The sequence below is a fragment of the Homo sapiens genome, chromosome 2 (assembly GCF_000001405.40).
Source record: "Homo sapiens chromosome 2, GRCh38.p14 Primary Assembly".
In the NCBI taxonomy this organism is placed as follows: Eukaryota; Metazoa; Chordata; class Mammalia; order Primates; family Hominidae; genus Homo; species Homo sapiens.
Genome location: NC_000002.12, coordinates 23,353,888 through 23,370,795, shown reverse-complemented (window position 1 = coordinate 23,370,795; position 16,908 = coordinate 23,353,888). Strand labels below are relative to the sequence as shown.

Here is a 16,908-nt window from a genome sequence, read left to right as displayed (position 1 = left end):
TATCTTAGAGATGACAATGCCATTAGCTAACCCATGTTGTTGTCTATTGGGACATATAAAAAGTCTTTTTAATTTGCTCTTCAAAAAATCACTTACACCCACAACACTACTTCAGTCAACAAAGTAAATCTAGGTATGGGAAAACCATGGCAAAAACTTTTTGCCATGCTTTACCTTTTTGTCTTTAAAATTTAATGTATTCATTTTCGTTCGGATTCTCTTTTCTCTCTTGATTCACTGGAGGAAGGATTTCTCTGGTGAAAAGTACCCCAATCTGATGCCTTTGCAAAAGCAGTCACCCCTCTGGCATGAAAGGCACCATTCAATCATCCAAACTCTTAGAGGTGAAGGGTACACTGAATAATGAGTGCTAAGATGGTGTCTATTGTATTATAAATACCCATTTTAGAAAACCCAATAGTCAGAAAGTTGAGAATCTGTTGCTGGATTCGCTGTTGGGGACTCCGCTGCTTTCATGGGTGAATCCTTCTGATATGGCTTCTTAGATGGAGGTCAAATCCCCTTCCTCCTAATCTCACACTTTATCCTCCTTACACTGTAGGTCAACAGATATAGAGAACTGTCTCTTCCCAAGCAGGAGGGGAATCATTCTTCCAATCGAGTATTGGGAAAAATGTGATCCAAGAGTCAAGCTTTTAAAGTGCTCTCAAATTCTATTTATAAAGATACGAAGGGGTAAATATTGTGTTGCTGTTTACTTTTATTAGAAAAACACAGACACCCAAAAACAACCTTGCATCAGAGATTTATTTAATTTTTATATTATTTTATTTTATTTTATTTTATTTTTTGAGACAGAGTCTCTCCGTGTCACCCAGGCTGGAGTGCAGTGGCAGGATCTCTGTTCACTGCAACCTCCGCCTCCTGGGCTCAAGCAATTCTCCTGCCTCAGCCTCCCAAGTAGCTGGTTTACAGATGCCCGCCACTGTGCCTGGCTTATTTTTGTATTTTTAGTACAGACGGGGTTTCGCTATGTTGGCCGGGCTGGTCTTGAACTCCTGAACTCAGGTGATCAGCCTGCCTTGGCCTTTCAAAGTGCTGGATTACAGGTGTGAGCCACTGTGCCTGGCCTAATATTTATTTGTAAATTTAAAAAGTTGACATTATCATATACTCAGAAAAGTACACAATTTTAAGAGTATAGCCTGATAAATGTTTACAGAGTGGACAAACTCATTTCAAGATACATAACATCACCCACATCCCCAAGGCTTCCTATACCCTTCCAACTCATTACCTCCACAAAGTAACTGACATCTGCCTTTCATCAAAATAGTTTTGCTTCATGAATGGAATCACACAGTATTTTTTTTTTGTATCTGGCTTTTTTCATTCAACATTAGTATCTGTGAAATTCATCTGTGTTGTTGCCTAGAGGAGTAGTTCAGTGTTTACATTGTTGTATGGTATTCCACTGCATGAGTACGCCATGATATATTTAATGTTTTTACTATTGATGAACATTTGGGTAGCTTCCAGTGTTTTTTAATCTCTTAGAAACAGTTTCGCTAAGAACATTTCAGGGCATATTCAGTATGTCTCGGTAGTCGTTTATCAGATTGAATCACTGGATCACGGCAATGCAATATTCAGCTTTAGTGGATAGGATGATAAAGACTTTCTAATTCTGTCCAGGCGAGGTAGCTCATGCCTGGAATCCCAGCACTTTGGGAGGCTGAGGCGGGAGGATCACTTGAGCCCAGGAGTTTAAGACGAGCCTGGACAGCATAATGAGATCTTGTCTTTACTAAAAATGGAAAAAAGAAAAATAAAGGCTTTCTAATTCTTGTGTCAATATTTGCAAGTTGTGTGTGTTTTTTTTTTTTTTTTTTTTTTTTTTTTTGAGACGGAGTCTCGTTCTGTCGCCCAGGCTGGAGTGCAGTGGCGCGATCTCCGCTCACTGCAAGCTCCGCCTTCCGGGTTCACGCCATTCTCCTGCCTCAGCCTCCCGAGCAGCTGGGACTACAGGCGCCCGCCACTGCGCCCGGCTAATTTTTTGTATTTTTTTAGTAGAGACGGGGTTTCACCGTGGTCTCGATCTCCTGACCTCGTGATCCGCCCACCTCGGCCTCCCAAAGTGCTGGGATTACAGGCGTGAGCCACCGCGCCCGGCCGTGTGTGTTTTTTAAAAAAGAAATGGTCTATTTCATCTAAATTGTCAAATTTTGGGGCACAAAGTTGTTCAGAACATCATCTGATTGCCACTTTGATGCTTGTGTGGATTTTTAGTGATGGCACCTTTTTCATGATTTATATTAGTAGTTCATTCCTTCTTTTTTCTTGATCAGTCTTTTGAGGGATTTGTAAATTGTATTAGTTTTTTCAAAGAACCGATTTTTGGCTCTGTTGATTTTTTTTTCTATTTTATGTTTATTTCATTTTTTGGCTTGTATTTTTATTATTTTTTTCCTTCTAATTTATTTGTCCCAATTTGATGTTCTTCTCTAGCTCCTAGAAATGGTCACTAAATCAATGATTTTCTCTCATTCTTTTTTTCCTAAAATACGTAATTAAGGTATACATTATTCCTTTAAACACAGTTTCAACTCTATTCTACAAGTTTTAACATGTTGGTTCTTCATTATTATTCAGTTCAGAATATTTTCTAATTTCCATTAAAATTGTAAATTTCCGATTTGTTGTTTTGAAACATGGGTTATTTAGAAGTGTTATTTAGTCATTTTCAAACATTTGGGGATTTAAAGAATGTTTCCTATTAATTTTTACTACATTTTCACACTTGTAAGAGGACATACTCTGTATGATTTCAGCCCTTTGAAATGTACTGAAATCTGCATCATGACTCAGAATATGACTTATTTTATTAAATGTTCCATGCATACTTGAAAAGAATGTAATCCCGTTATTGCTGGGCTCCGTGTTCTGTATATGTCACTAAGGTCACCCTTGTTTATCATGTTGTTCAAGTCTGTATCTTTACTGATTTATTGTCTGAAAGTTTATTCTATCAGTTACTGAAAGATGTATTTGAAATCTTCAACTATGATAATGGATGTGCTTTTCCTTTTATTTTTGTCAGTTTTTGCTTTGCACGTTTTAGGTTGTGTTTTTAGGTGCATACAAACTTCAGATTATCGAATCTTCCAGCTGAATTGGCTTTTTGTCATTATGAAATGCTCCTCTTTATCTCTGGAGATACTTCTTGCCTTACAGTCTTGCTTTGTCTGATATCGGTATAGCTAAGCCAGCTTTCTTTTCGTTAGTGTTTTCATGGCAAATTGTTTCTGTTTCTGTCTGTTGTAAGTAACATATAGCTGAGTCTTCTTGTTTTGTTTTGTTTTTATAGTCTGGCAATCTTTTTACTTTAATGGATTATTGAGTCCAGTTAAATTTTAATACATTCCTGATATTTTTGGTGTTCATTCTATGATTTTATTATTTGTTTTATATTTGTTCTATCTAGTTTTCTTCCATTTTTCTCTTTGCAGCCTTCTTTTAATTGTTTTTTATTATTCTATTTCCTCCCTCTATTAGGTTGTAAGTTATACATTCTTTTATTATTTGTTTAGTATTACCCAGAGTGGGGCTGATGAACTTCTGTAAAGGGTTAAATAGTAAATATTGGCCAGGCACAGTGGCTCACGCCTGTAATCCCAGCACTTTGGGAGGCCAAGGTGAGCGGATCACGAGGTCAGGAGATCGAGACAATCCTGGCCAACATGGTAAAACCCCGTCTCTACTAAAAATACAAAAATTAGCTGGGTGTGGTGGCACACGCCTCCAGTCCCAGCTAGTCGGGAGGCTGAGGCAGGAGACTCGCTTGAACCTAGGAAGTGGAGATTGTAATGAGCCGAGATTGCGCCACTGAACTCCAGCCTGGTGACAGACCGAGACTCCACCTCCAAAAAAAAAAAAAAAAAAAGTTAATATTTTAGGCTTTGAGCACCACCTTCAGTCTGTGACTTTCCTTCTTCCTCCCAATCCTTCTCCTCCTCCTCCTCCTCTTCCTTCTCTTCCTACCCCCACTATTCTTTAAAAATGCAAAAAACGTTCTTAGCTCTTCAACTGTACAGAACAGGCTCTGGGCTTGATTTTGGCAATGGAGACAGTTTAACAACCTGTACTAGAGATTTACCATATGTCTTAACAGAATCTACCCTTCAATTAATAATTTCACCACTTTCTGGGTGATACAGGAACCTCATACAACTTTGATTCCATTTACCTAACTCTCTTCTTCTGTTATGCTAGTTTGGTTGTGCTTTTTTTTCTCTACGTATTTGAAATCCTATAAGACATTCTTATGTTTATTGTTTGAAATAGACTATGTGCATTTCAGTGTACTCTCATATGTACCATTTCTTGCTCTCTATTGCTTTCTGCATTGCTGTTCTTCTAACTTGGATTGTTTTGTCTGAGTAAACTCCCTTTAAAGTATTTTTTTTAGTGTGTCTATGTTGACAACACTTTTTTTTAATTAAAAAAATTTCAATAGCTTTTGGGGTACCCGTGGTTTTTGGTTACATGGGTGAGTTATATAGTGGTGAATTCTGAGATTTTAGTGCACCTGTCCTGCCAGTAGTGTACATTGTACCTAATGTGTATTTTTAAAAAATCCCTGGTCTCCCTCCCACCCTCCCCCTTCTGAGCCTCTGAAGTCCATTTTATCACTCTGTATGCCTTTGCATACTCATAGCTTCGCTCCCACTTATAAGTGAGAACATATGTATTTGGTTTTCCACTCCTGTTACTCCACCTAGAATAACAGCCTCCAGCCCCATCCAAGTTGCTGTTAAATAAATTATTTTGTTCCTTTTAATGGCTGTGTAGTATTCCATGGTGTATATATACCACATTTTCTTTATCCACTCATTGACAACACATTCACTATTCGCTCAGTTTTTATTCACCTGAGATATTTGTTAACCTTCATTTGTAAGGGTATTTTCACTGGTTGTAGAATTCTAGGCTACCCGTTATTTTATTTTGGCATTTATCTTCATCCTTCTCTTGTCTTCTGGCTTCTACTGCTTGTGTGGATTAGGTCTTGTTGCTCCTTAATGTATCTTTTTTCCCTTCCTCTGGCTATTTTAAATTTTTCTCTTGTCTTTGATTTTTTGGAGCTCTACTCTAATGTGCCTTTGTATCGTTTTCTTTGTTTTTCTGTGTTTGAATTTTGCTCGAGCTCCTTGAATCTGTATATTAATATAATTCTTGGGTTTTATCTCCTCAGACATGGCTTCTGTCCATTTCTCTGTTTTCCACTTCTTGGACTCAAATTCCATTTATGTTGGTTCTTTTCATTGTGTCCCACATCTTTCTTATGCTTCTCTCTCCCTCTCTCTCTGTCTGTCTCCTTCGCTCTGTTTGTACATACATGTGTGTTTAATCTTTTTTCCTTCTGCTTCAATTTGGTTATTTTTCTGCTGACCTAATTGCCAATTTACTAATCCTTTCTTCTGCTGTTAAATCCATCTATTGAATTTCCTTCTTTCTTTCTTTCTTTCTTTCTTTCTTTCTTTCTTTCTTTCTTTCTTTCTTTCTTTCTTTCTTTCTTTCCTTCCTTCCTTCCTTCCTTCTTTCCTCTCTCTCTCCTTCCTTCCTTCCTCCCTCCCTCCCTCCCTCTCTTCTCTCTCTCTCTCTCTCTCTTTCCTTCAAGACAGGGTCTTGCTGTGTCACCCAGGCTGGAGTACAGTGGTGAAATCATAGGTCATTTCAGTCTTGAACTCCTGGGCTCAAGCAGTCCTCCCGCCTCAGCCTCCCCAAAAGCTAGGACTACAGGTGTGTGCCACCACACTCAGCTAATTTTTAAATTTAAAAATAAATAGAGATGAGGGTCTCAGTATATTGCCCAGGCTGGTCTTGAACTCCTGGCATCAAGCAGTCATCCTCCCTGGGCCTCCCAGAGTCCTGGGGTTATAGGCGTGAGCCACTGCACTCGACTTCTGTTGAATTTTTAATTTTAGTTATTGTCTTTCTCAGTTCCTATGGGTTTCTTCTTAGATTCCAATTCTCTACCTTTTAATCTATTTTTTGATGAAAATATTTATTCATATTAATAAACTATTAATACAGTCTTTGTTTGTTAACCCTAGTACCTGGGCCACCTATACGTCTCTTTTTAAAGTCTCTCTCCTTTTCAAACTTGGCTTCATTTCATATCCCCTGGAATACTGGGTGATTTTTGACTGAATACTGGATATTGCGAATGAAATATCGCTGAGGCTCCAGATAATGTTGCTTTCCTTTACAGAGGTGTTTATTTTTTCCCCAGCAACAGTTAAAGAGGGGGCAAATCACCTTGATCTAATCACAAATTGAGATATTTAGAGACTGAGTTTTAGGCTTTGTGAGGGATGGTCTATGTCTGGCTTGGTTTTACTCTTAGTGTCCATCTACTGTATAATCCTTCTGTTGTCTCAACGGAAAATCTAGGCTATTTACCAACATCTCTCCTTCTTGGTGGGCCCTGAAATTCAATATTTTTTCTCCCCATCACTTTGAGATTGTTCAAACTCTGCTGGGTTTCCAGCCTGTTTACGGCTTAGTTTCCCGGTCTCTTGCCCATCAAATGCAATGTGAGGAATGAGAAAATCCCTTGAGGGGGAGTCATACACAGAATGCCTAGCTCATTTCTATATGGCCTATTTCTCCAGGATAAGGGTCCCCATTGTTCTGGTCACTTTGGTAGCTTTGAACTCTAATTTTTGTCTGTCCAGATTAGCAAGGCTGCTGCAGGTCTAGGCCAATGTTTCTGCTCTGTCTCAATGACATCCTTTGAGAGCCAGCAAATGCCCTGAGGGGAAAACGTGGGGGAAATGGAGGATTTACTCACTGCATTTCCCTTCACTCCAGGATCTTGGCCCCTAAAGTCCTGGCTGCCTTTGTTACTCTCTGATGACTCTTAACAGCTGTTTTTTGAAATATATTTAGCTTTTATAGTTGTTCTCTGCAGGATGGTTAACCTGACACAAGCTACTCAGTCATAGACAGAAGGCAAAGTCTCCAGAGATTTATTTTTAAAAGTGGTTTCCAGGACATGTCCTGAGGCCATCACACATTTAGCTATATCTCCTGCATCTTTTTGAGGCATCCCCAACGGAGGGCTGGCAAGGTCTTTGGTGTCTTTAGCATCATCAAAAATAAATTGTTAAGCTCTGTTGAGTAAGATTTGTATGTATTTACTATAAATATTTTAAAATTGAGATTAATGTGCCAAGTCTGATCATTTTGAATCAAATCACTCAGTTTACCATAACACCAATTCTCCAACTTTCAAGGTTTTATAGTCTTTCACTTTTACATTGTGAAACATTCAGTTTCAAGCATACACACACACATATCTGCCCCTCCTCCCCTGGGAGCCATGTGACTGTGGTCCAGCCTCTTTCAATCTCTGGCCCTTAGTGTCTGCATTTGGAATAGGAGGTAGGTAGAGGCAGAGAGTGGGTTAGTACCAGGCAAGCTCACGGGGTCTTTACTGCTCTGGTGGTCAATCTATCTTCCATGACTTGGACTGGGGAACATTGGTGAAATGAGACATTTAGCCTGCTCTGAGCTAGAGGTCTTTACTTGGGGCCATAGAACTTGCTCTGCTAAGTCAGTTAGCCTTGTGGCTGTGGAGCCAGTTCTTAAGCAGGAGGGAGCTAAAGGGACCAGGCTCAGGCTGTCTTTGTGGACAGGCAAGGGCCCGGGGCAGTGGGTCTCATGGGGACCAACATCCCAGTGGAATGAAGAATGAGAAAGCATCTCACGCTGCACCTGCTCCCCCTTCCCAAACCTGCATCATTCACCCATTTCAGCTGGGAATTTCAAAGCCAGAGGTGGCCACTTCCCCAATTTGTCCAAAACATCCTCCTCTGGATATTCCTGAATACAATATACTGTCGTATAAGAAATGTCTGAAAAACTCTGACCCTTCCTTTTCCACGTGATGGTTTTCAAATCTTAGGTTCAGAATCCACCTCTGTGCTGTCCTGAGCCGGTTTCCTCCCCTCCCCTGCTCAGCTCCATGTCACAGGCAGTTGCATAGGTTGGATGCTTTTCCAGACTACCCTGTCTGTGGACTCCTGGCTGGTTTGGGCAATGAAAAGCACTGGAAGGAGACTTGACAGCAAGAAGCAGGGAGAAGCTGGTGCATTTCTCTCCTTTTCTCCTTGCCTTAGATGGAGTCCTAGGCAGAAGCAGCAATGTCCATGGCCCCAGCTCCTTGTGGATGGACTCACTGTCTACCTACCAGGTGACCCCAGCCACCTGACCTGGGCAACTTTGTGGCTCTTCTTTGTTCCTCCATCCAAAGGGTGGTAGTAGCTTCTTGCCGTGCTCATCTATAGAGCACCTGGCACCACTGCTCTCTCCCCAGCTTCTTCATCATGTGTAATACCAATAAGTTGTTATTGAGTCCCCTCTGTATGGAGACTTGGAGGGCTGCTGTTTCTTGTTCAGAACCTAATTTAGTTGCTAAAAACTGTACTTCAAATACCTTTTACTTTCATAGATATATAATTTAAGCACCACAGAAACATATTTGCTTCCCTTTATCACCTCCTAAGGTAGATGGCATTATATATTCATTCAACAAATATTTATTGAGACACTGCTCGATACCCTAGCTAAGTACTGTGCTAAGGGATACAGCAGTGAGCAAAACAGGCAATGTCTCTGACCTTGCAGAGCTCACAGCTTTGCAGGCAAGACAGCCTGAAATCCTTGGAATAAAAGGTGTTGAGAATGAGACGTTGTTGTAACTTACAGACTTAGGAGACAGACAGAATTGGGTTTATACCTCAGCCCTGCAACTTACTCTAGGCTATATCAACATGGGCAACATACTTCACCTACACATGCCTCAGTTTCCTCTTCTTTAGATGAGTATTCAGTTATCCAGCTCATGGCACTCCTAACCATTTTACATGTACGGTGAGGATGCTAATGTTGCTAACTTTGCAAGGCTGTTCATGATTAAATGAGTTGCTATTGGAGAAAGAGACAGATGCCCAGGAAACAAACTCACCTCAAAGATTTATTTTTAAAAACTGCTTCCAGGAAGCACACATTCAGCACTGCTGGCAGTCAAGTGGGGAAGGTGAGGTGAGCCTAGAAATGGGGCAAGAAGGGCCGAAGTCAAAATTTTGGACAGAGACAGCTGCTAGGAGGAGCACTCAGTCACCAGGTTAGGGTGACGCCCATGGCGAGTTCTGCTGGCAGAAATGCACAGCCACCCTGGCCTGCATGTGAGTGGGCCCCTTCTCTCCTCTTTGCTTGGCCAAAATGTCACTCCCTCCAGAGAGGGCTCACTAACTTCTAGTCTGAGTTGGGTGTCCCTGGTACTTCTGTACTTCTTCAGTCATAGTTGTAAACATTGCCATCAACATCTCCATCATCATCATCGTCATCATCATCATCATCATCATCATCATCATTGCTAACATTCGCTGGGCATGCACTCACACTGCATTCCAGACATTGCACTATGGCCTCTCATGGCAGAGTCTGGGTAGCAGCTCAAGTCTAGTGCTTTTTTTTATTTCTCCACATCATTAAGACCAAAACGTCTAATGATTTCTAGAGAGGGAGGGAGAAGTGTGTGTCTGTGTGTGTCTGTGTGTGTGTGTGTGTGTGTGTGTATAAACCTGCATGTGCCACAATAATTGAAAGTTGCATGATTTCAAATCGTCAAAGATTCAAGATTAAGCTATGCCGAGTAAAATTTTGACATGAATTGTGTTGCTGTTTTTTGAAAATTAGGATTTCACGTGAATTAGAGGGACTCATAGGTTGCTGCCGTTAGAGTCAGAGGCCCGGATTCATCAGCCTCTGTTCTTTGCTCCCACCCTCGAGGCTGCGCGTGACAAGTCTTCTGATGCAACCCCTCGTGCCCTGGGTCCATTTCCTGCTGCCCCTCCCTCTCCTGCTTGACCACGTGCTGGGGCCTCCTAGTGGCCTTGTCACCTCTTTGGATTCAGATTTAAATGAATCATTTACTTACATTTTACTCACATTTGAAAATCATTCTACAAACAACATTCTAATGGCGTTAAACAACTGCAGAATCTAATGAAAACCAGTCTTAACCTCACTGGAATCTCATTAAGAAGAGGGCAGCTCTTTTTTTGTGTGAAATTGTTGGAGATGATTTTATCTGGTTTGGTTTTGTTCGCCTTGCCTAGGAGAGTCGGGGGGCCGGGGGTAGATAAAAATCACAGAATATGGATTCACATACTCAAAAGATTTTAAAAATCCTCTTTCCTGAATTTACAGATGAAAAAACAAGAGCCTAAAGAAGGGAGGCAACTTTTCCAAAGCCACACATTAAACCTGTGGCAGTTAAGAGCCAGAACTGTGGTATCCTGGCCCTCAGCCCCACACCTCTACTGCAATACCTGGGATGTGGGCCCATGGATTGATTTATGGATTTTGACTAACATATCTTCAATTGAGCAATCACTCGGATGATCGATTGAACACTCCTTCACCAAACAAGGCTGGAGGCCTGGGATGGACGCCGGTGGTTTGAGATATGCAGAAGAAATGGGTCCTGCCCTCCGGAACACTCCAGAGGTAAGGTTCACAGACAAATGATGAAATGCTGTCTCATGAAGTACCTGCTTGTGGTCAGAATACTGCTTGCCCAGGCGTTTTCACATCAGTACAAGAGTAGCGTCTCTTTTAGTTCTGTTCAGTTCCACCAGTAGGTACTGAATAAAGGCCTCCTGTGTCCTGGGCGCTGAGACAGGCATGAACTGTTTGTTTATGATAAAGAACAACACGGCCATCAGAATGACTCATTGGGTCGGACTGAGAAGTTCACAGGCCAAAGGACGGAAGGAGAAGAAGGCCCAGGCAGGACGCCTTTCGAGATTTACCAACACATAAATGCTGCCATCTCCCTCTCTTGGAGAAAAAGAAACACGGCTAATATTAATAACCATGCCAGCTTTTGTGTGGCCCTTTGCAGTTCGTGACGTGCTTTTGAGTCCATTATCTCTTCTCATTGTGTGAAGTGGGAGAGCAATGAGGCTGGCATCTTTGGAGAATGAGCAGCCGTGGTTCCCCAAGAAGTCAAGCCTGGTCAGGCGGGTGGGTTATAGGGCAGCAGGCGGGCTGAAGTTATTCTTGCTGAGAATGTCCAGCAGAGGACAATCCCCTGAGTTAATGTCTTCCATGAAACCTTCAGCAAGCCACTCCAGACCAGAAGCTGGGTAGTCTGCACTGGTTTTCCTGCCCAGAACCTCATTTCTCCTTGGATTGAACACTTAGTTGGTGCTGGACATCCTTTCCAGCCCTTGCAGGCCACTCTGCTAAGTGCTGGGCCCTGTCCTTCAGCTGTGGCTGCTGCTAGAGTCTTCCTTCAACAAAGCTGGACTCACACTGGGATGAAGTGGCTGCTACCAGCTGGACTTTGTGAGTTGCCACTGTCTTGAGAGTCCATCTGCTGTGTGTGCCTATTCCTTAGAGACCCTTTAGATAGTTGTAGGGGCTGGGCATGGTGGCTCATACCTGTAATCCCAGCACTTTGGGAGGCTGAGGTGGGTGGATCACTTGAGATCAGGTCAGGAGTTTGAGACCAGCCTGGCCAACATGCTGAAACCCAATCTCTATTAAAAATACAAAAATTAGGTGGCGCGTTCCTGTAATCCCAGCTTCTTGGGAGTCTGAGGGAGGAGAATTGCTTGAACCTGGGAGGCAGAGGTTGCAGTGAGCCGAGATCACACTACTGTACTCCAGCCTAGGTGACAGAGTGAGACCTCATCTCAAAAAAAAAAAAAAAAGACAATTATAGGTTGTAGGGGGGCTCAAATTTAGCAGTTAAATATTGGCATATGCAGAAAAACGTTGCTGTTTTAATCTTCCCGAACTGGTTTGATCTTACTTTCTTGCTGATGGCAGGAAAAATAGCAATGATAACAAAAACACAAATACCACTACCAGCACTACCACCAAAAACTGTCTTTTGCCTTGACAAGGGAAGGTAGCATTCTTTCTTCTAGTTTAAAAGAGCCCTCATGACCCAGTAAATCATAAACCAATGAAAATTCATATTCTTTTTCAGGTCTGTGATTCCTCTCTCAAGCAGGCTGTTCTCCTCCTGCCCCACTTTCCCAAGAGGATGTCTGGGTTCAAGGCGTCTTTCTGTCTCCTGGCTTTGATGGGCTTGCCTGCCTGGGAGCTGTCCTCTGGCTGACCTGCTCACCCCTGCTTGTCCCAGGGCAGCTCTGTCCTCGCTAGCTCCACCACTGAAGTGCCCACTGCTGGGTGGATCCTGTAGTCTGTTTTCTTAGTGCAGGCCCAGCTTGGTGAATGATCTTGGGAGCTTGGCATGAGGGAGCTTCTAGATTCCTATGTCGCACTCCTAGGATAGGAGGACAGTAGGGGGGATGTTGTCTGTGGCCACCCAGACCACTCCCTCGGTCATTTCTAATTTGCCACCCTGTATCGTGGTAGACACCTTGCCCAACAGAAGGTTTTTTTGAGGCCCCTCTGATTTTCCTGGGATATGCAGGGAAGCCAGGCGTAAGCAGCTATGTGCTGGCCTTTCCCTGCAAACCTGTCTGACACTATCAATTTCTTTTCTACCCCCAGAGGTTGCAACCACTGGAGAGAGCCAGAAATTCCTATCTGACCTCTTTCCCTTTCATTTTCTCTCTCCTGGCTCTTCCACTAGCAGTGGAAGGATCTTCTATTTTGTTTTTGGTTAGCTGGGAGCATCTTTATGTCATATTCTGCTTCTAAACTCTGTGACCTTCATCACTGTCCTCCTCCACCTTCTCTGGGCAGCACACTTTTTTATTCTAGTCTGGAAGAAGAGATTCAGGGAAAAGGGAAAAAAACTGGTTGAGTGAAATTACATTTCCAAAGTAATTCCATTTTTTTCCATGTCACTTCTAGAATATCATGGCACTTTATAACATCAGTGTCAATCAGCATTGATTGACAAGCCCCCTGGACTTTGGATGACTTCTCTGAAGCCCCAGCTGTGCCTGGCTGGGCCATCTCCCTTCTCCACTTGGCCACAGCATAAACTGCAGTCAAGCCACAGGAGTGACCTCAAGGCCTCAGGCCACTTTTCCAGCCTCAGCTTTTCTTAGGGGCCCAGCCCACTTACAATAGAAATTTGCCAAAGACTGGGTTGGTAAGTAATGGATAAGTTTTCATATTTACTATTTTCATTTCTGAATCTCTCTTTACATGCAGTTAAGCCAGGAAATCCTGAAAGAACACTCTTCAGAATGTTTTTAAGTAAAACAACAAGTTTCTGTTAATTTAGGGCCAACCCATGAGTAAACAGATAGAGCCTGAGGTATTCTGCACCCTGTAATTTGTGGACTTCTTAGGATCTTTTAAAATAAAGATGAATAGTGGGTGGTAAATGCCAAGACTTTATAAGAATCAGTTCTCCCTGGGAATTGGTTTGGCGGGTTACATTAAAACTTAAACCAGTTTGTCTATGGCCACATTCCTGTGTTTGAAGATTGAATGTGGAGTCAGAACAGAGTTCATCTGGGCCTGTTGAGGGGCTCCTGGTGGGGTCCTAGGGTGGAAAAGATACAGCCACATGGCTTCAGGTCAGATGGGTTTCTGCCTGAGGACAGGAGCCTTTGCTCCTCTCTGTCCCTCCTCCGGGCGCTCCCCTCATTGTTCCACCTGCTGTGTCCCACCCTTCCCTTCTGGGCCCTCCCCACCTTGCTCTCCTTGCTGCCCCAAAATGCACCGCTACCTTCCAGCTTTGGAGCTTTGCTCAGCCCCTTCCTGCTGGCGATGCACCCTCCATCCTCTCTCAGAATCATCCAGGGCCCTCTCAACCCCAGGTCTTCACCCCTCTGGGGCTTGCCTCTGGAATCCTGCAGTGCTGCCTCCCCGCAGGACTCCTGCCTGCCATGCTGGATTCGGAAGCACTTGGCCTTAAGTGCTCGCAGGCTAGTTCTGCTGCTGGCTCTGCTGGGCCCCGTCTTGGCCTCCGTTGTGCTTTGGCTTTCCTGAGATGAGGCCAGGGTGTCCCTCTCTTCCCTGTGCTCCTGCCGTCCACCTTGGGCGTTGGGCCATCATCATGATCAATAACAGACAACTGGGTAATGGATGGCATCTTTCTTTCCCTCCATAAACTAAAACCCAACTGACACTAGTTCTTGTATATCTGAATCACCCTCATCATTGAGAAACGACTGGACAAAGCCAAATCCCTGCTAATTTCTCCTCCCCTAGCTCAGCTTGTGCTGGCAGCCCACACTCCCCCCATCACAGGGTCTCTGTGGCAGAGAGAGAAGGCCAAGTCACCCCGTTCACAAACAGCAGAAGTTAGCATTGTCTTTACCTGTGGAATGGGATTCTTGAGAAGTCTTTTATTTTTTACCCAGGTTTTCTGGTAAAATCATCAAAAAATAGAATCATGTCTCAGAAATACAGCAATATACTATCTTTCTTCAGGGGGTCCTGAGCAAATTCTTTAGTAAATGTTGATTTTCCAGAAAAATAAAACTTGGGAAGTTTTCTGTAGGTTTTGGTGGACAAAACAAGCTTTTTATTAGCAGAGTGATGGTGATGAGGATGACGATGAGGATGATGAGGGCTGAGGGGTCTGCTTTCGAGACTTTTTCTTTTTTCTTTTTCTTTTCTTTTTTTTTTTTTTTGAGATGGAGTCTCGCTCTGCTGCCTAGGCTGGAGTGCAGTGGCGTGATTGCGGCTCACTGCAACCTCTGCCTCCCAGGTTCAAGCAATTCTCCTGCCTCAGCCTCCCAAGTAGCTGGGATTACAGGTGCCTGCCACCACGCCCCGCTAACTTTTGTATTTTTAGTAGAGACGGGGTTTCACCATATTGACCAGGCTGATCTCAAACTCCTGACCTTATGATCCACCTGCCTCGGCCTCCCAAAATGCTAGGATTACAGGTGTGAGCCACCACATCCAGCCTGAAGCTTTTTCTTTGGTACATTATCATTATTCTTTAAAACTGAGAAAATACGGATATACATAAAAAGAGGAATGAAGAAAAATTTAATTAGTTATATAAATTAATAACATTTGACACTGAGTTTCAGTAACAGTGTCTAATATGGAAGGTCTTTGTAAGTATTGAAGGGAGTGAATGAACTCAGAAGAGGATAAGCCATCGGTAATTATCTGCCAGACATTTCCCCCTTCCGTATATATGCACCTATAAATACTTGTTATATTAATATATAAGATACTTTTTTTGAGATAGGGTCTTGCTTTCTCACCCAGACTGGGGTGCGACATATGGATGGAGCTTCTTCCTTTGCCTCTGCAGCTGAGTGTGAATCCAGGTAGCTTAATCTCTCGCCTTCTTAAATAGTCTTGAGAGCATCACTGCAGTCTGCATTGGTGGTTGGTAGTGGTTGTGCCACAACAACATTTCTGCTGCAGTGGTAGCCTGTTGACAGACAATCTAACTGCTGGATCGGAACATTTCTTCCCATGTTGGGGGCTAACTCCCTTGCTGACCCGAGTGTAGCTGCCTGCCCAAGTCTCCTTCTTTCCCAGTTCCTGGACCACACCCGGCTCTTTTTCACCCTGGAGCTCTTGCTCATGCCATTCCTTGCGCCATAAATATCATCCTCCCTCTGACCACATGGCTGGCTCCTTCTTAAGAGTCTCAACTTCCAAGTCACCTCCTTGCTGGGGCTTCCCTGACCACTCATGTGAGCATGTTCTCTGCCCACTTTGAGGTTCCTCATTGCATCTCCTTCTTCCTTTTCCTTGTAGCACTTCACATTTTGGAAGGACTGAGTTGTCCACTTGGTGAGGGCCTGGCTCCTTGGGGGTCATGAGTGCTGTTTTGTGTATCTGTGTGGGCATGCATGGAAACAAAGCCATAACTGACTGGAGAAAACGTGGCTCCATCAAACTCATTAATTTACACACACCAAAAGGCTAGACTCATCTGGGATTTTTTTTCTCCCTCCAAACGGGCAGAACTGGCTTATTGATTTGGTACCTGGGAAGATCGCTTCATAAGCTTCAAAGATCTTCCCAGGTGATCTCCTCCATAACCAAGCCTGCAAATGTCACTCTGATTCTGACAGTCCCTAATTTGCATCTCCAGGAAGGCCTCCTCTCAGCGCTTTAGCCTCTTATATCCAGTGGCCTGCTCGGCAGCTGCATGCGGGTGTTGCACACACGACTTAAGCCAGGTGTGTCTCTAATAGAACTCTGGATCTTTCTCCAAACCCATTCCATTCTTTCCACCTCAGTAGTTGGTGCAGTCTTTTATCTAGTTCCATAAACTAAAATCTGGAAGCTGTCTGTGATGCCTCCCTCTTCTTTAGGTTTTTTTCCTGCCCCATAAGCAATTTCCCAGGTAGTCTGGTTCTTTTTACTTCCACCATATATGTTGAGTCTCCTCACTTCTCTCCAACTTGACCGCCATCCCATAGAGGCATCCCTTCTGGACACACGAAATCCTCCCAGCAGGGTTTCCTGTGTCTTCTTTTGCTTTTCAATTCAGTCTCCACACAACAGTCATTTCAAAACTTAAATCGATTCTCATTACTCTCCTTTCCAAAACTTCTCATTGAATTCCTATTGTACTTGAGTAAAATTCCAGCTCCCTGTCTTGATCCATGAGGCATCCGTGGATCTCTGCGACCCTGTCTTGTGCCTCCTGCCCTTTCCCCACAGTCGAGCCTCGATGCTTTTCCCTGTTCCTGGACCACACTAGGCTCCCTTTCACCCTGGAGCTCTTGCTCATGTGATTCCCTGTGCCATAAATATCATCCTCCCTCTGACTACATGGCTGGCTCCTTCTTAGGGTCTCAACTTCCAAGCTACCTCCTTCCTGGGGCTTCCCTGACCACTCATGTGAGCATGTTCTCTGCCTTCTTTGAGGTTCCTCATCGCAGCTCCCTCTTCCTTTTCCTTGCAGCACTTCACATTTTGGAAATACCAAGTTGTCCGCTTGGTTAGGGCCAT

General features: G+C 43.4%; 1 long non-coding RNA gene across 1 annotated transcript in view; it reads left to right on the top strand.

Annotated features, from left to right (window-relative positions):
• The window catches only part of LINC02923 (long intergenic non-protein coding RNA 2923), a 29,875-nt gene extending 16,523 nt beyond the window's left edge, over nucleotides 1-13,352 (top strand). The window contains exons 5-6 of the long non-coding RNA NR_187213.1: nucleotides 10,243-10,542; nucleotides 12,871-13,352. This is a non-coding gene — a long non-coding RNA (long intergenic non-protein coding RNA 2923). The remainder of the gene's footprint in view (nucleotides 1-10,242; nucleotides 10,543-12,870) is intronic.
• The last annotated feature ends 3,556 nt before the right edge of the window (nucleotides 13,353-16,908 follow it).